The sequence below is a fragment of the Homo sapiens genome, chromosome 4, assembly GCF_000001405.40.
Source record: "Homo sapiens chromosome 4, GRCh38.p14 Primary Assembly".
NCBI classification, from domain to species: Eukaryota; Metazoa; Chordata; class Mammalia; order Primates; family Hominidae; genus Homo; species Homo sapiens.
In genome coordinates, this window is record NC_000004.12 from 2,263,827 (window position 1) to 2,283,807 (window position 19,981).

General features: G+C 55.8%; 1 protein-coding gene across 3 annotated transcripts in view, besides 4 other annotated features; it reads right to left on the reverse strand.

Annotated features, from left to right (window-relative positions):
• Nucleotides 3,044–4,096: a transcriptional cis regulatory region, noted in NCBI's record as "candidate enhancer chr4.319 targeted for multiplex CRISPR interference". NCBI's record gives its function as "positively regulates LETM1 gene expression in K562 cells {active_cell/tissue: K562}" and the evidence as "EXISTENCE:mutant phenotype evidence [ECO:0000015][PMID:30612741]".
• ZFYVE28 (zinc finger FYVE-type containing 28) overlaps nt 5,771–19,981 on the reverse strand; it is a 149,049-nt gene continuing 134,838 nt past the window's right edge. For all 3 annotated transcript variants that reach the window (NM_001172656.2, NM_020972.3, NM_001172659.2), the window contains 5 exons: nt 10,236–10,390; nt 9,347–9,463; nt 7,849–7,953; nt 7,485–7,588; nt 5,771–7,030 (listed from right to left, as the gene is read on the reverse strand). In NM_001172656.2, the coding sequence (NP_001166127.1) occupies nt 6,899–7,030; nt 7,485–7,588; nt 7,849–7,953; nt 9,347–9,463; nt 10,236–10,390 (613 nt within the window). In that variant the 3' untranslated portion in view covers nt 5,771–6,898. The remainder of the gene's footprint in view (nt 7,031–7,484; nt 7,589–7,848; nt 7,954–9,346; nt 9,464–10,235; nt 10,391–19,981) is intronic.
• Nucleotides 16,730–17,231: an enhancer, noted in NCBI's record as "H3K4me1 hESC enhancer chr4:2282283-2282784 (GRCh37/hg19 assembly coordinates)". NCBI's record gives its function as "activates a minimal SCP1, AML or CMV promoter by ChIP-STARR-seq in primed H9 embryonic stem cells {active_cell/tissue: H9 hESC(primed)}" and the evidence as "EXISTENCE:reporter gene assay evidence [ECO:0000049][PMID:30033119]".
• Nucleotides 17,232–17,731: an enhancer, noted in NCBI's record as "H3K4me1 hESC enhancer chr4:2282785-2283284 (GRCh37/hg19 assembly coordinates)". NCBI's record gives its function as "activates a minimal SCP1, AML or CMV promoter by ChIP-STARR-seq in primed H9 embryonic stem cells {active_cell/tissue: H9 hESC(primed)}" and the evidence as "EXISTENCE:reporter gene assay evidence [ECO:0000049][PMID:30033119]".
• Nucleotides 18,500–18,559: an enhancer, noted in NCBI's record as "active region_21166". NCBI's record gives its function as "activates an Ori minimal core promoter by ATAC-STARR-seq in GM12878 lymphoblastoid cells {active_cell/tissue: GM12878}" and the evidence as "EXISTENCE:reporter gene assay evidence [ECO:0000049][PMID:35858748]".

The window sequence follows — 19,981 nt, forward strand, 5'->3', positions numbered from 1 at the left end:
AGAATAATGTGTGTTCCCACAGAGCCCTGCAGGACCCAGTGGGGAACTCGGACACTGCTATGAGACAGCCCTGCATGGACATTGAGACAACCCCCTTGATGTTAGCAGGGGCCCTTCCTGTTCCCGCCCCACAGTGACGCCAGGGCCCAAGGCAGAGCCCCTCACAAGAACTCAGCACTGAGGCCCTCCAGGTTTGTCTGCATGGCTGCTCAGAGCTGTGCATGGTAAAGAAAGGTGCCCAAGTCTGGGGAGGAGCAGGGTGTGTTTGGGCTCTGGGGACCCAGCTCTCCACTTGGGGATGAGCATTTTGCAAAGTTGCCCCATCCCTGCTTTGGCCACTGGGTGAGTTGCTGCCGACAGCTAAAGCGGACACCTGGCCTAGTACAAGTGCACCTGCTGGGCATAGTGCACGCCCCCTTCCTGCCATGGGCCAAGAGATTTGTTCTGTGTGGCAGTGGGCAGCACAGGTGCGCAGGTGTGTCTATGGGGAGGCACCTGCATGCTACCCCAGTCTAAGAGATTTTTAGCCTCAATTTAGGCCATTTAAGGACTCACCCTCACCTCCCCACCACACTGAGGACCAAGCACTTCCCTGGTGTCCCTGGGCTCAAACCTTGCCTGGTAGTGTGGGCACCACTGCCTGGGGGAGCAGGAAGGAGTTGGGGTTGGGAGGAGAAGCTGCAGGAGGCGATGGATGACTGAGGGCTGAGCTGCAGCTAGGGAGGGAGGTACTGGAGGCATCGGCCAGCAATGGCAGGAGGAGAGGGAAGGGGAGGGAGCAGCCAGGAGAGGCCTGGAGGTGATGTTGGCCTGGCCCAGATGGCTGCAGGTGGGCCTGGAGCCCTGCCAGGAGAGGTCTGGAGCCCCTGGGGGATAGGGGCACTGGTCCCACCTGCAGTTGGCAGGGTCTCTACACCCACGGGTCTCAACTTGTCCTTCCCAAGATGGGCAGAGGCATCTTGGGTCAGTGCCGGCAGGCACCAGTGCCCATGGAGTCTCAGGGGTGGTTGAGGAGTGGGGAGGACGTGGCTCAGGTCAGCCAGTTGGACCCAAGCCCTGCAGGGCATGGGCCATGTCCCCTTCTGTAGGGCAGGTCCCCCGCAGGGTGTGGCATCTCCAGGGAGCTTTCCATGGGCACAAGCTCCTGCCCAGCCCTGCCCTGCCCTTCCCCAGAGCCAGGACCTGTCCAATGGGCACCAATGAAAGCTAGGAGGGAGGGGGCAGACATCTCCAGCCTCCTTCCCTGGGGAGCCCAGTCCCCCCACCCTACTCTGGGAGGACCTCTCTATGCCACTCTGGGACCCCCAGGGTGCATCTCATTCCTGCCCCATCCTCTGAGCCCCACCCAGCCTTACATTCTCCTTGGGTTGTTCGCCCTCTGTCTCCTTTCCCTCACGACGGCCCTCCCCAGCCCACCCCAGGCAGGGGCTCCCAGGGAAGGGACAGGGCCTGCATGCAGAAGGGCTTCCCCGGTTTTGGGTGGAAGGCCACGGCAGGCTTGTCTTCCGCTGCCTGGATTTCCTGAGTTATCTTGCCCCATCTGCCACAGCCTCAGCTTCCCTGGCTGTGAACGGGGCTGGCAGTGCTGCCTCTTGGGACATATGGAGGACGGAATAGGAATAAAGGATTCCTGGTTTGGCTTGGGAAAGGCTACTGGGCTGACTCCCCACCCGCAGGATCTGTGAGAGTATCTAAGGCCAGCCCCAAAGAGACCTCCAGAAGACAGCTTCCTGGCCTTCCTGCGCCCACTGGGCCCCAACTTCCTTTCACTGGACTCAGGATCCACAAACTCCTCATGGCCACCACACACACATGACTTCTCGGGGTATCTGAGTCTCGGCAGAGCCTCAGGGAGCACCCCTCACACACCCAGGGAGGGAAGGTTGGTGAGGCCCCGGCAGCTGCAGAGCCTCTTTCCCACACTTCCAGGCTGACCAGGCCCTGATCCCCAAACTTGGCCACTGACACCCTGCCCCTCCCACCTTGGGCCTCCTGTCACTGGGTGGGCTGCCAGCAGCCCCCAGGTCCCCTGCACCAGCATTCAGGGCGGGAGGCTGCCCTGCCTCCACTCCGTCAGAATCCTGCAGCACAGTCCCCATCTCCACAGCCCTGAGGGGTGGCAGGTTCTAGGTCAGTGGGGTGGCCCGGGTCAGGGCTGGAGAGCTGTGACCAGCTCAGCACGCACCCAGTCCCCCGAGGCCTTGGCTCCCCTGCACCAAGAGGCCTGGTTGTGTCCCGGCACCAGGGGGAGTCCCTATGGTGCCTCTCCTTGAAGCCACCCTGGATTCTAGTCCTGTCAGCTTCCCTGGGCCTGTTTCCTGGGCTGTAAAATCGGGGGTGACAGTACTTGCCTCTTGGGTGGTTGGGGTGTGTCATGAAGGATGCATGCAAAGCCCTGCACAGCAGTGGGCTGGGCACTAAGGGGTGCCCAGGAAGTGCCAGGAATGTGAACATCAGCTCCAAATCAGCAAGAGCCTCCAACCCCTCGGCCCTGCCCACAGAGAGACAGGGCTTAGGAGAGACAGGGCCTGCCCAGTCTCAGCCGGTCAGTAGCAGAGTCTCGCTGAGAACCTGGGTGGAGCTTTGGCTGCCCGGCTGGCCAGCCACGGGCCCCAGGCCAGGCCTCTTGGGGGCCTTCCAAAAAGTTTGACACTCAGGAAAACACTGTCTCCAGAATACGAAAAGAAGACGGCACAATCAAAATGCATGGAGATGTAATTAAATGTTTATATAACCAAACATAATGTCAGCGTTATTTTTAAATTTAAAATCAGATAATTCTATTTGTGAACAATTGGTGGGGTAGATTTTTTTTCTCACTTTAAAAGGTTTTCCCAGCATGCAGAAGACCCCCAGACAACTCAGACAACTATAAGTTAAATGAATTTCCTATGGCCCAAAATGTCCAAAAGCAAAAGAGGAAATTTTCCTTTCAAACACTTTTACAAGAGAAAAACAAGTTTATGAAAGAGGCCGTGGCTGCAGATTCAAGGCACTTGCTGTGGTGTCTGGGGGTGGCCTTTAAAATTCGGAGGGCCAGGACCTCTGAAGCTGGACAGGCCCTGCCTGGCCCTGCTGCTGTTCCGGGACCCCCTTTCTTCCCTGAGGCCTGGGGTAGAAGAGCAGGTCCTCCTCTCGTGAATGGTAGGGGTGCTGCTATCTGGGAAGGCTTCCTGGAGGAGGTGGGTCTATGGGGCCTGGGAGCACCTCCAGGACTCTGGGGCATGGGGGTAGTGTGGGCGGGCACTTTGAGGCCTGCCTGCCTCCCCTGAGCTCCCACTGCAGAGTCCAGAGGGTGGGAAGAGCAGTGGCTGGGTGCTGGTGGAGGGAGGCATCAGTGCACAGATGCCATAAAGCTGCCTCCCCAGGGTTCTGCCAGCTCCCCGCCTAGCCCTGGTGGTACAGGCGTCCGGCTCCAACCAGGAACACTGGGGGCATGGTCTGTCCTGCCCTTGGTCATTGCTGTACCAGCTAGGGCCTCTCTGGATCTTCCTCCCAGGTGTAGGACCCTGAGGACTAGGGCCTGGCTACCGGGTCGGCCGCGCTGGGGTCTCTGTCCAGACTTAGGGTGCCTGGCCACGGTGGGGAGACCCCAACACCTCAAGTTGCACTGCTTCGAGGAGGCAGTGGAGTTGGGCGGGCCTTGGTGGCCATTAGGGACAACACCAGGACTCCTGAAGATAAGCAAGGGCTGCGGTGGGGGGTGGGGCCGGGTCTGGGCCGCAGGATAGGAGGGGACAGTCCCTGCCTCAGACCGGCTCCCTGGCCCAGCAAGGACGCCCACCACTTCTGAGCCTCCCTGCATTCTCGCCCCAGGCCTCCCCAGAGCCACCTGCCCCTTTGCTCACAGCCTCCTTATCCCCATCAGCCCAGGAACCAGCACAGCCAGTGTGGGTGGGGAGCTTGCTGCCCGAGGAAGGGCCGCTGTACAGGTGAGCCACAGGGGACCCGCCACAGTGCAGGTGGGTGAGGGCCTCGGGAGACGCCTCAGCCTGCAGTGGGCAGGGCAGGACAGGGTGGGGCTTCTCCCTTCTCCCCCACCTCGTCCCACCTCCCCAAGATCAGGTATGGCAATGGTCTCTTTGCCCCAGGCTTCCTCCTGAGCCCCTTGGACACAGGGAGCTTGGGGGATCCTCCCAGTCCTGTGCATAGCCCGGGCAGCGCAGGGAGGCCTGGCCCAGGCAGCCCCAGCCTTTCTGCAGCTGCTGGGACCAGGAACCCGGGTGCTCGGGTGGGGACGCCCCTGCCTCCGCAGCAGCCTTCCCTGGAAATGGCCTCCAGACACCATCCAGGCACCATCGGCCACGGCCAGTGCTTCCTGGAGCCCCTCCCATCGCAGGAACTTCTGTGTCTGCCTCTTGGAGACCCTCCTAGATACGCACAACCCAGTTCTGTCACAGACCTCCTCGAACCTCAGTTTCCCCACCTACAACACGGGGATGCTGCTCCCTCGAGGGGCTGTGGGAGGAGAGGAGACAGCCCTGCTCAGGAAACAACAGCAATGATGGTGATGGTGGAGAAACTGAGGCCCACAGGGGCTGACCCCACAACCAGACCCCATGGCACTCTCCTGCCCCCAACCCAGAGACTGCAGTCCCCAGCCCCAGCTGTGGGTGGGCGACAGGCCATCCCTTTTAGAGCCTTCCAGAGCTGGTTCTGCCTTGGCCCAGCCCCTCTCATCCCCAGGTCCTGACTCTGCCCTTGGGGTGGGAACAGCCCCGTGGGTGGGTGGTGACCACATGTCCTGCCTTTAGTATGGAAAGTCCCGCAGCCCAGAAAACCTCTCATTCCTGGGGGAACAAGAGAGTTGGTCACCCTTTCTGGGGGGATCCTGCGACCCCAGGCTTTCCTGCAGGGCAGCTCTTAGAGGGGCTGCCCTCTCCCCTCCCCCCTGCACAAGGCAGGCCAAGGCTGGTCTGGAGGGCTGCCGGGGACACAGGCCACATCCAGACCTCTGAGGGGAAGACCCTTCTTGGTCTCCGCTCCCTCTGCCACTGCTGACCTGGTGGACGAGGAGGAGCCCCTTGCCTTAGCCCGGAAGGCGGCCACCGTGGGTGCCTGTGAGGAGCCAGGGGATGTGGCGCAGCTTCGTGCAGCACAGCTGTCCGCTGGGGTGGGCGTGGGGGCAGGCAGGCCATCTCAGAGTCCCCCGGATATCCCTTCTCCTCTGCTCCCGAATAACTCAGCCCTGCTCAGACAGGGCCCCACATTCCAAAACACTTTCTCCGTTGCCAGAAAGAAAGCAAGCCCAGTATCTGCCTACCCACCAGTGCCCATCTCCAAAGGGCAGGGTACCCGAGTCCTGTGGGCACAGGCCCATCGTCGAGGCAACCTGGGCTGCGGCCGCCCTCCTGAGTTCTCTCCAGGACACTCCAGAAGGCAGCCGCTCCAGGCGTGATTAGCACAGCCCTACGACCAGGGCCACCAGGCAGGGCAGGCCCCAAGTCGGGGTGGCTATGAGCACTAACCCTGCCCCCCACAGGCCAGAGGGCTGAGCTGAAGATGCCTGTGAGAAGAGGAGCTGGGCAGGTAGATGGGCAGGGGGGGATGGGCATCACAGGGGCAGAGCCCTGGAAGGTGGGAAGGAGCTTGCAGGAAGCAGGGGGTGGCCACTGCTCCTGAGGGCTGGTGGGAGCCAAGTCCCGCCCTTCAGTCGTCCCAAGAGTCCAGGAGCCTCCAGCTTCTTAGAGGACAATGCATGTTAGCACCAACACCATCGCTTTCCAGACAGAGAAAAAAGATCCGCGTTCATGGAAGAAAGGAGAGCGTCTGCAATCCTTAAATAGATTTATGGAAATGGCTTCAAATTACAGCATTTAGAAAATAAATATAATCTCAATACATAATATTTCCTCCATTATATACTCTCCCCCCGACAGAAGCCGTTTCTATGCATATGTACTCCACCAGTAAACAGTAATTAGATTTATCCTAGAAAAGAAGCAGTAGGTGTGTCATCTCCAAAAATAAAACTGCAATCGTCATTGCAATGTGAAGCCTGAGATTTAAGCCTGAGGAGGTGTCCGCTGGGGCCACTCAGCTGCGGCAGCTTGGGTCCCAGGCCACTCTGGGGTCTGAGGAATTGGGCCAGGGTTCCAGAGGGTGCAGAGGGAAGGGGAAGTGGTAGCTGAGCTGGTGGCCCCGGGCGTCCTGGCTGATTGGTAAACCCGACCCAAGGCCCCGAGCAACCTCTGCCTGCGGTGTCAGTGCCTGGTCGGACCCCCATGCCATCAGCAAGGGGACAGTGGTGGGCAGACACCAGGAGCACCCTGCCTGCCTAGAGGACCACTGGGTCAGCTTCCCGCATCTCCCCACTCCAAGAAGAAATGAGATGCATGTTGTTTAGCCAAGTCCTGAGGAAGGATGGTGAGGGGTGAGGGGTGAGGGCTGGGGAACGAGGTGGGCAGCTGATGGGGAGAATGGGTAGCCTGCATTTGACGTTTGGGAGGCACATAGGGAGCCCTGCTGTGCCAAAGAGCCTGTGGAGTGGCCCTTGCTCCGGCTTCCAGATTCACCGCAACAGCAGAGGCGCAGAGTGGCCCCACTCTTGTCCACCTCCATCACCCGCCCCGATTCCCATAGCCCCAGCAGATCTCCGAGGGACCAGTGGGAGGGCCCAGGCCTTCTCCGCCAGGCACCCTGCCCTGAGGCAGCCACCAGGCTCCTCCGGGTCCCCTGCTGGGCAAAGCTGACCTCTTGTTGGCCCCTGCAGCCGGCCCGGGGTCCCTGCAGGGAGGCTAGCGTGGGCAGGACAGAGGCTCTGGATGCTCTGGAGGTCTGGGTGCCCCTGCAGCAGCGGCAGCGGCCTCATGAGACGCAGTGAGACCTGCCTGCAGCGTGGCCCCACCTTCCTGGGGGTTCCTGGCCCGGGTGGGTTGGGGCTGCCCCTGGCACCACGTCACAGGCCGGCCTTGTCGCTGTAGAAGGGCGTGACATGGAACATGTAGCAGTGGGTGCACACTCGGACCGGCTTCACCTGCCCGTAGCGGGGCAGCGGTGCTGAGTGCGAGGAGCAGCGCGAGCAGAAGATCTGGAATGGGGTTGGGGCAGTGAGGGTCTGCGGCAGACCAGCCCCACCCACCCTGGCTCCTCGCCCTCCCACACACCTACCCACCCAGCTCAGGCCGCATTGGTGGGTGGGGACTGCCCAGCCCCAGCTGCCAGGGGTTGTGACCTTCAGGAGGCTGGACTCTATGAGGGGTCCACGTCCTGCACCAAGGCTGCTGCAGGCTCCTGTTCACACTCGCTGTCCCCTCTCTGTGGCTGGCTCTGCAGCAGCCGGGACTGGACATGGGCACCATCCAGGTTCCCGTGGTCAAATGCCTGGAGTCAGAACAGGGCCCGGGACCTCCAGGGGCCTCTGCACAAGACCCCACAGGCCTCGCTGGCCTCCCTGGGCATCGGTTCTGACTTCCAGACCTCAGGCTCTGTCCGTGGACGCCCTTGGATGCTGAGGGACCCTCCGTGCAAGGGGTCTCACCCACCTTCCCACAGCTGCGGCAGTGGTGCTTCCGGCGGATGACGGTGAAGGGTGCTTTGCACGCCGTGCAGAAGCCACAGGCCTCGTCTGGCACCCACTCCGGGGGGTCTGTCACAACAACAGCAGCGTCACATCAGCGACGGCAGGAGCAGGTGGGCTGGGCCGGGACCCTCAACCTACCCTGGGCCCTCCTTTCCAGACTGCCAAGCCGCCTGGCCTCCAGCCAGCCTCCGGGGGGGCGGTCTCCCAGCTCCCACATGCCCGGACAGGGTGGCCTGCAGCCCCTCCCCCAGGAGGAAGGCTCCTGTGGCTCCCACAGCCCCCACTGGTGTCTAGTGCAGTGTCCTGACCCAGAGCCTCCCACACACCTTCAAAGTCCCCATCGCGGGTCTTGGCTGCCAGTTCAGAGGATGACAGGGTCTCCTGGCACAGTGCACAGTCCTCCAAGGCCGCACTCCGCAGAGTCTGGGTGACTAGTGGAGAAGGGGGGCCGTCGGGGTATGGTGAGGGAGGCGGGCAATTGATGCAGGGTCACCTGCACTTGCTGGGCACAGCTGGGGGCTTCCAGCAGTCGGTCAGCTCCCCAAGCCCACTGGCAGTCTCATGGCAGGTGGCACCACAGCAGGTTGGGCGCCGATCCTGGCTGGGGGTCTTCCTGAGCAGGGGCCTCTCCTTTGCACAACATGGGGGCCCAGAAGCCTGTGGCTGCTCCCCCTGACAGGGGCATCCAGCCCTGGAGCCCCTGCATGGCACGTGTGTGGCCAGGACTGCAGCTCACAACCTCCGTGTGCAGAACAGGGCCATGTCACCTGCCGTCTCTGAATCATGATTTCCAGAAGGCAGTCCTGCCAACCTCCCTGGTAGAATGCAGCCTGGCGGTGTGGATTCGGCAGGGCAGAGCTGGGTCGGCACATGGGCTCCTCCCTGCTGGCAAGGGTATGCCCTGCTGGGCCAGGGCTCCAGGACCAGGCGGGCTGCCCCATGTGCCCGGACGCCCCATGAACAGAAGCCTCTGTGGTGAGGGATGGCTCTGCTGGAACAAGTGCCTCAGCTCAGCACCAGAGCACCAGGGGTGGCGAGTAGGGGCTTAGTCCCCTTTCCCACCCTGGATCCTACAGGGACCGAGGGCCAGACTCCCTGTGCCTAACCAGTCCCTGCCTTCTCCCTCCCAGATAACATGTGCGCACGTGTGAGTGGGAGCGTATGTGCACATGTGTGCATGTGTGTGGGTGTGGGTATGCGTGAGTACATGTGTGCACGTGTATGTGCACGTGTCTCTGTGTGACCATGGCTGTGAGAGCATGCCTGTGTGCTTCTGCTGTGTCAAGCATGTGTGATACCTCAGCAGCTCATGGGCAGCAGTGGACTCCTTTCCACCCCCATAGAGAGGCGGGTTCGGGGTGGGCAGCCTCGGGCTGCTCTGAGGGGCAGCTCTCGGTAGAAGAGACGTGGCACCACGGCCGAGTCTCATCCTTAAGAGGGAGGGTTTGGGTTCTCCCAGCCTCCATCAGACGCAGAGGTGCAGTCACCTTGCTGCTGCACATGCAGGGGACAGAAGCCGGGGCTGTGGGCACAAGCCATGGGCCCTGGCCCATCTGCTCGTTTGCAGGGGTGGAGTGACTTCCTGGGCGGGCAGCCCATCTGGGCACTTCCTGGGCCTGCTGCTGTGCCCCTTGGCTCCCCAGCAGGAAGGGCAGCCTGGCACATTTGGAGTGCAGAGGTCAGGGGATCCTGGGGTCGACGATTGCTTGGTCGGGACCCTATCTCCCCAGGGCCAGAAGGTGTGGATTTCTGAGCACCCCTCCCTGTGGGCAGGGACACGGCCACCAGCGCAGGCCTCAGAGCCCGTCCTGAGTGGGCACTCACCCTTCCTTAACTTTTCCTTGTCGTCTGTTTCAGGCTTGGTGGCCATGACCTCAAACAGTGTTTTAAGAATACTTCTCAGGTCACTGGCATAGTTCGTCTGCAGCTGGTCAGCCACACCTGAGGAAGGAAGGCCACAGTAACCACGACAGAAGGACGGATGGAAGGAACTGCGGAGGTCGGTGCTGCGGGCTGGGCAGACCCAGCCAGAGCTCACAGCCCAGGCCAGCGTGTTCTCAGATCAGTCAGGGAGGGAGGAGGCCCAACCCCTTGGGGGAGGATTCCCTTGCAAGAATAAAAACTCGGGAGTCGAGAGAGATCAGGGGAAGGGAGACGACCAGACAGACAGCCCCGCCACAGTCGGTCTGCCGCTGACATTCACACCTTTTATGCACAGGTCACAGCCATCACCACTAAGCTGGCCAGGCTACGCGCTGAGGGACACTTACAGAGCCCCTGCACTGTGCCCACCCCCAGGCCAGTGCTTGTGACTGTCACAGCCACTCAGGCATCCAAATGTGTCTACCTGCAAAGCATGTCCACCCCTCGCAGGCACAGCCCCCCAGCAGCCTACGTGGCTGGGAGCCCAGGGTGGACCCTGCCCAGAGGTGATGCCTAGCGCCTGGCTCTTCTGCCCCCACCCCACTGCCCCCGCCGCCACTCCCTGGAGGAAAACGCCTCCCACCCTCACCCGCAGCTCCCCTCCTCCTCCTGCCTGTGTGGGGTCAGTCCAGCCTTCTCCATGAACAGGAGTGCTGGCTCCTTAGGGGCAGAGTGGGCTGCTGTTTACAGGAAAGTGAGGGGGAGGTTGTACACGCCCCGCCTGACCTCCCCTAAAGCGCAGCCCGTGTGTCCTCAAGCCATGCACCGGTCTCAGGCCCTGACATGACACCTGAAATGCAGACGAACAGGCGGTGGATGAGGTCGTGGCTGCCGTGGAACCTGGACCGGATCTTCTCTCTTGTGGCCTGTGGGGCAGCATGCGTGGCTGCTGGGGCCGCCTCTGGCCCCATCTTGTCTGAGGAGCAGGACCCAGCTGTGGAGCTGCTGCATGGAGAAGGAGATACCGGTGTGTGGGGTGGGGCATGATAAGGGGCCGTGGAGCCCGAAGGTCACTGGTCAAGACAAAAGTCTGTGTCCTCGCAGACGCTCACCCCACAGGCGTGTATCTGTTGCCCAGATACACAACTTTCCTGTAACTTCACCTAAAATGTCCTCAGTGTAACATGCTCACCACATATACCAGGTGGTACAACAGGGCTCTGAGCCAGTCCCGGGCCTTTGATTTCTGCTGGGCCTCCTGGAATTGACAGCTGGTGGCGACTCACCCACTGAGGCTGTACTCCTGGCTTAATATCGACCGACTGCCCCTATGGAAGCGTCAACTCACCTTTCACACCATTTCTAATGGCCTGAGTGTCAGGCAGCCCCCAAAAATATCTCTCCCCACCCCAGCCCCTGAAGCCTGTGAACGTGACCTCATTTGGAAAAGGGGTCTCAGCAGGAGCAATTAAGTGAAGCATCTGGAGATGAAGAGATTGCCCTGAATGATCCGGACAGGTCATAAGTCCAAAGACAAACGTCCTTATAAGAGACAGAAGAGGACACAGACACAGAGGGCAGGAGAGCCCATGTGACCACGGAGGCTGAGACCGGAGACGCGGCCCCAACCCAAGGAACACCTGGAGTCCCCAGAAGCTGGGAGAGGCGAGAGGAGCCTGCCCTGGAGCCTGCAGACGGAGTGAGGTTCTGCCAGAGTTTGCACTTCGGGCCTCCGACTGCGAGACAGTTTCCAGGGCTTAGGCCAGTTTGCGGGGACAGCAGCCTCAAGAAACGAATACAGGATCCCCCCGCCCCCACCTACACTTCCCTGCCTGGAGTCAGAACAGGGCCCGGGACCTCCAGGGGCCTCTGCACAAGACCCCACAGGCCTCGCTGGCCTCCCTGGGCATCGGTTCTGACTTCCAGACCTCAGGCTCTGTCCGTGGATGCCCTTGGAGGCTGAGGGACCCTCCGTGCATGGGGTCTCCATCTTCCCAGCAGCTGCGTCCTCAGCTTTCATCAGATTTGCTACTCAGGGGTTCCACGGTGACCCTATAAATCGTTCACAGCTGGGCCTGTACTAACTCCGGAGGTTCACCTCGCCCAACTCTAGGGGTGCACCCACTGGCCCTCTCATTTTAAACTAATTTATCTCCTATCTTTTTGTCCCATTTTCTGGGAAATTTCCCCCAACTCGTTCTTCTAATTTTACTCTTGACGTTTAAATTTCTGCTATCAAGTTTTAAATTTACTGCTGTTACTGTCGTTTCATGGATGCAAAATCTTTTCTCTACCTAGAAATATTCGTGATAATTTTTTTCAGTTGCCACTGGCATCCTGCACGGCCTCTTTTGGAGGGCTTGGCTCATTTATTTGGCCGTGTCTCATGCCGAGCCTTGCCCCAAATGTTCGGGGATCCTCGTCGACCTGTGCAAAAATAAGAACAGTGTGGGTGCAACCACAGGAGCCTTCACCTTGCTGGTGGGAGCGTCAGCTGGTGCAACCACTTCGGAAAAAATGTTCGCACCGTTTCAGTAAAGCCAGGGCTGTCTACACTCTGGAGCCCGGTGGCCTCTGTTGCCGGCATACACTGGAAACGCGCATCTGCGTCTGTCTGCAGAGATGCAGGGTCTTAGACGCGGTGCTGGGGATTCCAGTGAAACGCTGGGCAGGATCCCAAGTCCGCCAGCAATGGAATGGAAGACCCACCGTGATCTAATCGCCCACCAGCAGAGGCCACGGAGGCGGAGGCGAGCCAGCCACAGCCCCGCCAACGCGCACGAATCCCACGTGGCGTGAGTCTTTTCACAGACCGTGGGAAACATGCACAACTGCCTGGTATCTAATTTAGGGACACAGCCTCGTGACGTAAACCCTGCAGAAGCACAGAGGCGTGGCGCACGTGAGAATTCAGGGCAGCGGGCTGCGGCAGAGCGGGGGAGGAGGCTGGAAGCGTCCCTGGAGCTGCACGGGGCCCCCTCCCTCATGGCAATGTGCTAACATAGCTGAATATTTGCCGGAACGTGGGAGCACGGTAGGAGGCTTAGGGGGCCTGGGCCCATGGGACGGGATCCTCTGCTGGGACCCCAACAATGCTCCGTGGCTCTCCCCTCCCAGGTGGTCAGGGTTCCACAGATGAAGCCCCTACCTTCAGCTTGGGGGTGTGGGCCTTGCTGCCCTCTGCCCTGGGAGCTGAATAAGGGAGGGGCCTTCACTGTCCAGGATGTCAGCTTCCACTCGGTACCCCCAGCCTCATCAGAGCCTTACCCAAAGGAACTGAAATTTGGGACTCGGACAGATACTTGCACGCCCACGTTCATAGCGGCCAAGAGACGGCAGCAACTCAGGTGTCTGTTGGCAGAGGCGTGGATAAACCAAATGTGGTCCACCCATACAACAGAATATTATTCAGCCTTAAAAAGGAAGGAAATTCGGATCTAGGCTACAGCCACGGATGAATGTTGGCAAGATCATGCTGAGTGAAACAACCCAGCTACCAAAGGATGCGTCCTGCTTGAGTCTCCGACACGAGGTCCTGAGAGCCGTCACGTTCATACAGATGGAAGGTAGAACGGTGGGCGCCAGGGTGGGCAGAGGGCGGGGAGTCGGGGGGAGTGAGTGATGGGGAAACAGTTTCAGTTTGGGAAGATGAGGACGTTGCGGAGATGATGTTGGTGACAGTTGCACGGCACTGAGTGTGTTCAATGCCACGAAATTGTACGCTTAGGAAGGGCTAAATAGTAAACTTTATGCTACATATATTTTACAAAAATTAAAAATATAAAAAAAAAAGAATTGGGGCAGGGAGAGAGCAGAGGCAAGGGAACGGAGGCGGCAAGTACATGGCAGAAGGCCGGATTGGCGTGGCGCCCGACACAGAAGGCTCAGGGGTATTATTGCCCAAAACCACTGAACTGTGTGATTTAGAAAGGTGAATTTTGTGGTATGTATGTTACATATCAATAAAGGCTTTTTTTTAAAGATCACGCCGGGCGTGGTGGCTCATGCCTGTAATCCTAGCACTTTGGGAGGCCGAGGCAGGCGGACTGCCTGAGTTCAGGAGTTCGAGACCAGCCTGGGCAACACGGTGAAACCCCGTCTCTAATAAAATACAAAAAATTAGCCGGGCGTGGCGGCGTGTGCCTGTAGTCCCAGCTACTCGGGAGGCTGAGGCAGGAGAATTGCTTGAACCCGGGAGGCGGAGGTTGCACTGAGCTGAGATCGTGCCACTGCACTCCAGCCTGGGTGACAGAGTGAGACACCATCTCAAAAAAATATAAATAAATAAAATAAAAATTAAAAAAAAGATCATTTGTGTTTAGATATGGTAGCAATAAACTGAAAGTGAAATGAAGAAAACAATCCTTAGCCCTTTACAATAGCATAAAAAAGATTAAAATACTTAGAATAAATTTAACAAAAGAAGTACAAGAATCATACACTGAAAACAACAAAACATTGTTGAAAAATATTAGAAGACCTACATAAATGGGAAGACATCTCGTGTTCACAGGTCGGAAGACAATATTGTTGAGACGGCATGACTCCCCAAATCGATCTACAGATTCAATGCAATCCATACGAAAGTGCCAACTGCCTTTTTTTCTTGCAAAAATGGACAATATGATCCTAAAATTAATGTGGGAGTGACTCGAGGGACCCAGAATAGCCAAAAGAAAAAAAACAAGTTGGAGGACTCACACTTGTGATTTGCAATGTGGCATGAAAGAGCAGGAATCAAGACTGTGCAGCAGCAGCATAGGACCGACATACAGACCAATGAGACCGAGAGTCCGCAAAGAAACCCATATGCTTATGGGCAGTGGATTCTCAGCAAGGGTGCCAAGACCAACCAGGAAAGAATAGTCTTTTCAACAAATGCTGCCGGAAAACCGGAGACACACATGCAAAAGGATGAAGCTGAACTCTGACCTTATACCACATACAAAAATTCACTCGAAATGAATCATATATCTAGATGTCAGAGCTACAACTCAAAGATTCTCTCTTTTTTTTTTTTTTTTTTTGAGATGGTGTCTCACATGGCTTACCGCAGCTTTGACTTCCCTGGGCTCAAGTGAGCCTCCCATCTCAGCCTCCTGAGTAGCTGGGACCACAGGCGTGCACCACACTGCCCGGCTAATTTTTGCATTTTTAGCGGAGATGGGGTTTCACCACGTTGCCCAGGCTGGTCTTGAACTCCTGGACTCAAGTGATCCACCCACCTCAGCCTCCCAAAGTGCTGGGATTACAGGCGTGAGCCACGGCGCCCAGGCTTAAAATTCTTAAAAGAAAACATTGGAGTAAATCTTTGTGGCGTTAGGCTAGGCCACAGTTTCCTAGACATGACACCTAAAGCATGGGCAACAAAAGAGAAAACAGATAACTGGACTTCATCAAACTGAAGACTTTCTGCTTCATAGGACACCACCAAGAAAGTGAAGAGAAAACCCACAGAATAATTTTTGCAAATCATGTGTCTGATAAGGACATAGTATCTGCAATATAGAAAGAATTTTTACAATCCAACAACAAAAAGACCAAAAAAAAAAACACTACTGAACAAATGGAAAACGGATTTGAATAGACATTTTTCCAAAGAAGATATACAAATGGCTAATAAACACATGAACAGATGCCCAACATCACTGTCAGTCAGGAAATGCCAAAAAAATTACAATTAAATACCATTTTATCTATTAGGACGATTAGAATGTTCCCCCCCCCCTCAAAAAAAAAAAACCCAGAAAATATGAAGTTGTGGTGAGGAAGGTGAGGATGTGAAGGAACTGGAATCCTCCTCTCTTCCTTATGGAAAAATAAAATGGCACAGACACTTTGGAAAACAGTTGAATGGATAGACAAAATGTCTATCTATATAATGGAATAAGTTTTCAGCCACAGAAAGGAACGCAGCACTTATACATGCTACTGTGTGGATGAACACTGAACACATCATATTGTCATCCCAGCCCTGTGGGAGGCCGAGGCGAGAGGATCACTTGACATCAGGAGCTCGAGACCAGCCTGGCCAACTTGGTGAAACCCCGTCTCTACTGAAAATACAAAAATTAGCTGGGTGTGGTGGCGCATGCCTGTAATCCCAGCTACCCGGGAAGCTGAGCAGGAGAATTGCTTGAACCCAGGAGGCAGAGGTTGCAGTGAGCCAAGATCGTGCCATTGCACTCTAGCCTGAAGACAGAGCGAGACTCCGTCTAAAAAAACAAAAACAAAAACACACCCATCGTGCTGAGTGAAAGAAGCCAGTCACAAAAGATCACAAACTGGCCGGGTGCAGTGGCTCACACCTGTAATCCCAGCACTTTGGGAGGCCAAGGTGGGCGGATCACGAGGTCAGGAGATCGAGACCATCCTGGCTAACACGATGAAACCCTGTCTCTACTAAAAATACAAAAAAAATTAGCCAGGCATGGTGGCGGGCGCCTGTAGTCCCAGCTACTCAGGAGGCTGAGGCAGAAGAATGGCGTGAACCCGGGAGGCGGAGCTTGCAGTGAGCCGAGATCATGCCACTGCACTCCAGCCTGACAACAGAGTGAGACTCCTTCAAAAAAAAAAAAAAAAATCACATACTGTATGATTGATTCCATTCACATGAAATGTCTAGAACAGGCGAAACCCATAGGGGCAGAAAGCAGAACCGTGGTCGCAACAGCTGAAGGGGGAGGGGAACATGGTGACTGCTGATGGGGAGGGTTTTTCTTTATGGGGTGATGAAAATGTTTTGAATTAGACAGTGATATTGGCTGTACAGCCTCATGGATGTACCACAAATTACTGAGCTGTACATCTCACAAACAACAGAAGAGAATGTTTTTCTTGTAATCGCCCAGCAAACTCATATGCAAGAAATAGCTTATAAGCTAAATGTCCATCAACAGTGGGTTGACTCAATACATTAGGTCATATCCCTATGGTGAAACAATCTCCAGAAGGATGGTCCACTGGAAATGTTAAAATATGAAATGAAAAATGTAGCATTTAAAAAATTAGAGGCGAGGTGTAGTGGCTCATGCCTGTGATCCCAACAATTATTGGGAGGCTGAGGCGGGAGGATCACTTGAGGCCAGGAGTTCAAGACCAGTCTGGGCAACATGACAAGACCTCTGTCTCTACAAAAAATCCAAAATTAGCCAGGCATGATGGTGTGCACCTGTAGTACCAGCTACTCTGGAAGCTGAGGTGGGAGGATCGCTTGAGCCCAGGAGTTCAAGGGTACAGTGAGCTGTGATCACACCACTGCACTCCACTCCAGCCTGGGCAACGAGCAAGACCCTGTCTCTTAAAATAAATAAAATAATAAAAATAAAAATTAGAGATGTCATATGTACATAAATGACACACTGGGGAAGATACTCAAGGTAAGGCATTAATCTTACACTTACTTGAGTAGTAAGATTACAGGTAAATTATCATTTTCTAAAGTCTCATCGCGGATCAAGTATTGCTTTTGTGATCAGAAGAGATGCCATTTCAAGAAGAAAGGAAAGTGCCTGCTGGCAGCAGATGGCACCCTCGGGCCCTGCCTGTGGCGAGGAACTTGTTTCCCTGTGAAAGGAGAAGCCCATGGGAAGTATTCAGCCCCGCAGCTCCAGCCCCTTGGACCAACACCCTGAAGCTGGGAAGGCTATCTGGACAAGCATCCTGCTACTGAAGCACCCCTGGAGATGAGAAATCAGGGGAAGGGCCCTGACGTTCAACAGAGAGTTGAGTGTGGCATAAGAACAATGGCTTCTACCAGCAGGTTGAGACCGAGGCCAGGCCAAGGCTGGCCGATTGCCCACGGGTAGGTCAGATCGCTGATGGCCATCTCAACCCCAGACACCCTTCACTTGCCACAGGAAAGGCCCTCTCCTGCCTCCCTGCCCTGGTTGGCTGGAAGCTCTGGTGGCGTGGGAGGGGGAATGGGTGGACAGAGAGAGCCAAGGGGCCCCATACAGAGATGTCACAGGTAGAAAAACCAATGAGGTACTGCCCAAGGGAACCGGCTGGGCTTGGAAGGGCCAAAGGGAACAAGAGAGCAGAGTGGGGAGGTAGAACCCAGGATTTCACCGAGAGCATGAGCCTGGGTCCTTCTGGGTCAGCCATTCCTGGGGCCATGTGGATGGGTGTCTTCCTTTGCTTCCTGCTGCTATAACAGAGTACCACAGTCTAGGTAATTTATAATGAACAGACATGTTTCTGGCTCACAGTCTGGAGGCTGGGAAGCCCAAGGTGGAGGGGCCCCATCTGACTAGGGCCTTCTTGCTATGTCACCACATGGAGGAAGGCATCGCATGGGCAAGAGAGAGGGGAAGGGGGCCATGCTCACCCTTTATAAGGACCCCACTGCAGCAATAACAAACCCACTCTTGCAATAACATCAATCCGCTCAGGAGGGCAAAGCCTTCATGACCTCATCACCTCTTTAAGGTCCCCCCTCTCAACGCTGTTGCAGTGGGGATTAAGTTACCAACACATGAACTTTGGGGCACACATTCAAACCACAGCAGGGGGCACTGTTTGGATGCCAGTGGCCCAGGAACACTGCCTTTGGAAGGGTGTTTATCCCCTGTGGCCAGTTGCTGAACAGACAGGGTAGGGCCATGAGGAGGACCTCAGGGGTAGATCAGACACTATGTGTCCCCCAAAAGCCAAGTCTAGTGGGGGAGCCACACACATTAACAATACAGAGCCGAGAAGTGAGCTGGTGCCCAGCGGGTCCATCCCTGTGGTGAGGAAGGGAACAGTACGGGTGAGATACAGCCACAGCTCAAGTCACAGAAAGACAGGGAGCCATGAGAAGCAGAGGCTAGAAGAGTGAAGGGCACCTGCCCTGCCAACAGCTTCCTGTGTCTCACCACAGAGTCTGAACCCTTGTCACTGATGTTCTCAAGTCAGTGGATCAACGTCACTTCAGCATGTTCACCCGGATGTCTAAAAGTCCAGCCACCTTCTGCAGCTGCCAGACACTCCCGCACCGGCTGCCTGAATGTTGCTTCCTGCCACTCTCTTACAGAAGGCAGCAAAAACTCCCTGCAACAGCCCCACTTCGGTTTGAACTACTATGAAATGTCATTCTCTGGTAAAGAAAGGCAGTGCAATTCTAAACAGTCACATCAATACCAAAGGCTGCCCAGCCTGTGTCTTCAGCTGTGTCACAGTTAGGCCACAGGACAGTGGCCAGGTTTCCAAAGTGCTCCTCTTGAACAGCACACAGGGGGGATAAATGGCTGATGTCATCATTGGGGTGGGAAAAGTGGTGAGGGGAGCCTCTGAGATGTTGGGAACATGGAACACGTCTGAATTCAGCAATTGGATAGAGCAGAAGAGGGAAGTTTACTGAACTTATAATTTTAATTCCAATTACTATGGAAAAGAAAGACCATAGCAAAGCCCAAATGAATCTGATGCAGCAAATTTAGCAAGTGAGTATGCAAACAGAAAGACAGGACTTTGCCACCTTGAACCTCTAGGAGTCTGTGAAAGAAGAGAATGCCAACTTTGGAAAGACTAACAGCATCACAGTATGTTTCTCATTATGACATCAGATACATTAATTTTTGAACTCTTGAAACCATTTGCAAAGGCTAATGAAGAGAAAAACAGCCTGTAGTCCCAGCTACGGGGAGGCTGAGGCAGGAGGATCCCCTGAGCCCAGGAATTCAAGGCTAGCCTGCGTAACATAGCAAGACTCTATCTCTAAAGAAAAATAAATAAAAAACAAAAACAAAGAACATCAAGAGTGACTGGTAGGCTCCAGAGGCAAGGTTTAATTGTGCTTGGATGTGGGAAAATTAGCAGCTCGGGCATTTGTACAACCACATACCAATTCTAATGAGCCACCTTGGGCCCTGACGCAAATGGTGGGCTGGCTGCTTCTTGTAAAAGTCATCCATCCATCCACCCACCCACCCACTCATCCATTTACCCATCCATATATTTACCTATCCATCCATCCACCCATCCATTCATCTACCCATCCACCAATCCATGCATCCATCCATCCATCCACCCAACTAATCATCCATCCATCTATCCACCCATGTACCCACCTGTCCACCCACCAATCCGTCTACCCATCATCCAATCTTCCACTCATCCACCCACCCATCTACCCACCCACCCATCCATTTATCCATCCATCCATCCATCCATCCATCCAATCATCCATCCACCCATCCACTCATGCACCCACCCATCCACCCACCCATCCATCCACCCATCCACTCATCCATCCACCCATCCACCCACCCATCCATCCACCCATCCACTCATTCATTTGCCATCCATCCATCCACCCACCCATCCATCTAATCATCAGTCCATCCATCCATCCATCCATCCAACCATCCAACCGTCCATCCACCCATCCATCCATCCATCCATCCATCCATCCACCTGCCCTACAAACATGCACTAAGCACCAACTATGATCCAGGAATTGCACAGTTCAGCCCTAAGGAGCTCACGATTTGATGGCAGAGATCAATAGGTGAACAGTTAATTATCACACACGGAAAGTGTAACAGAGGAACCATCAAGGGTGTTGTTGTGGGAGGTCAGAGGGGAGACTCCTCACTCAGGCTGGAGAGAGGT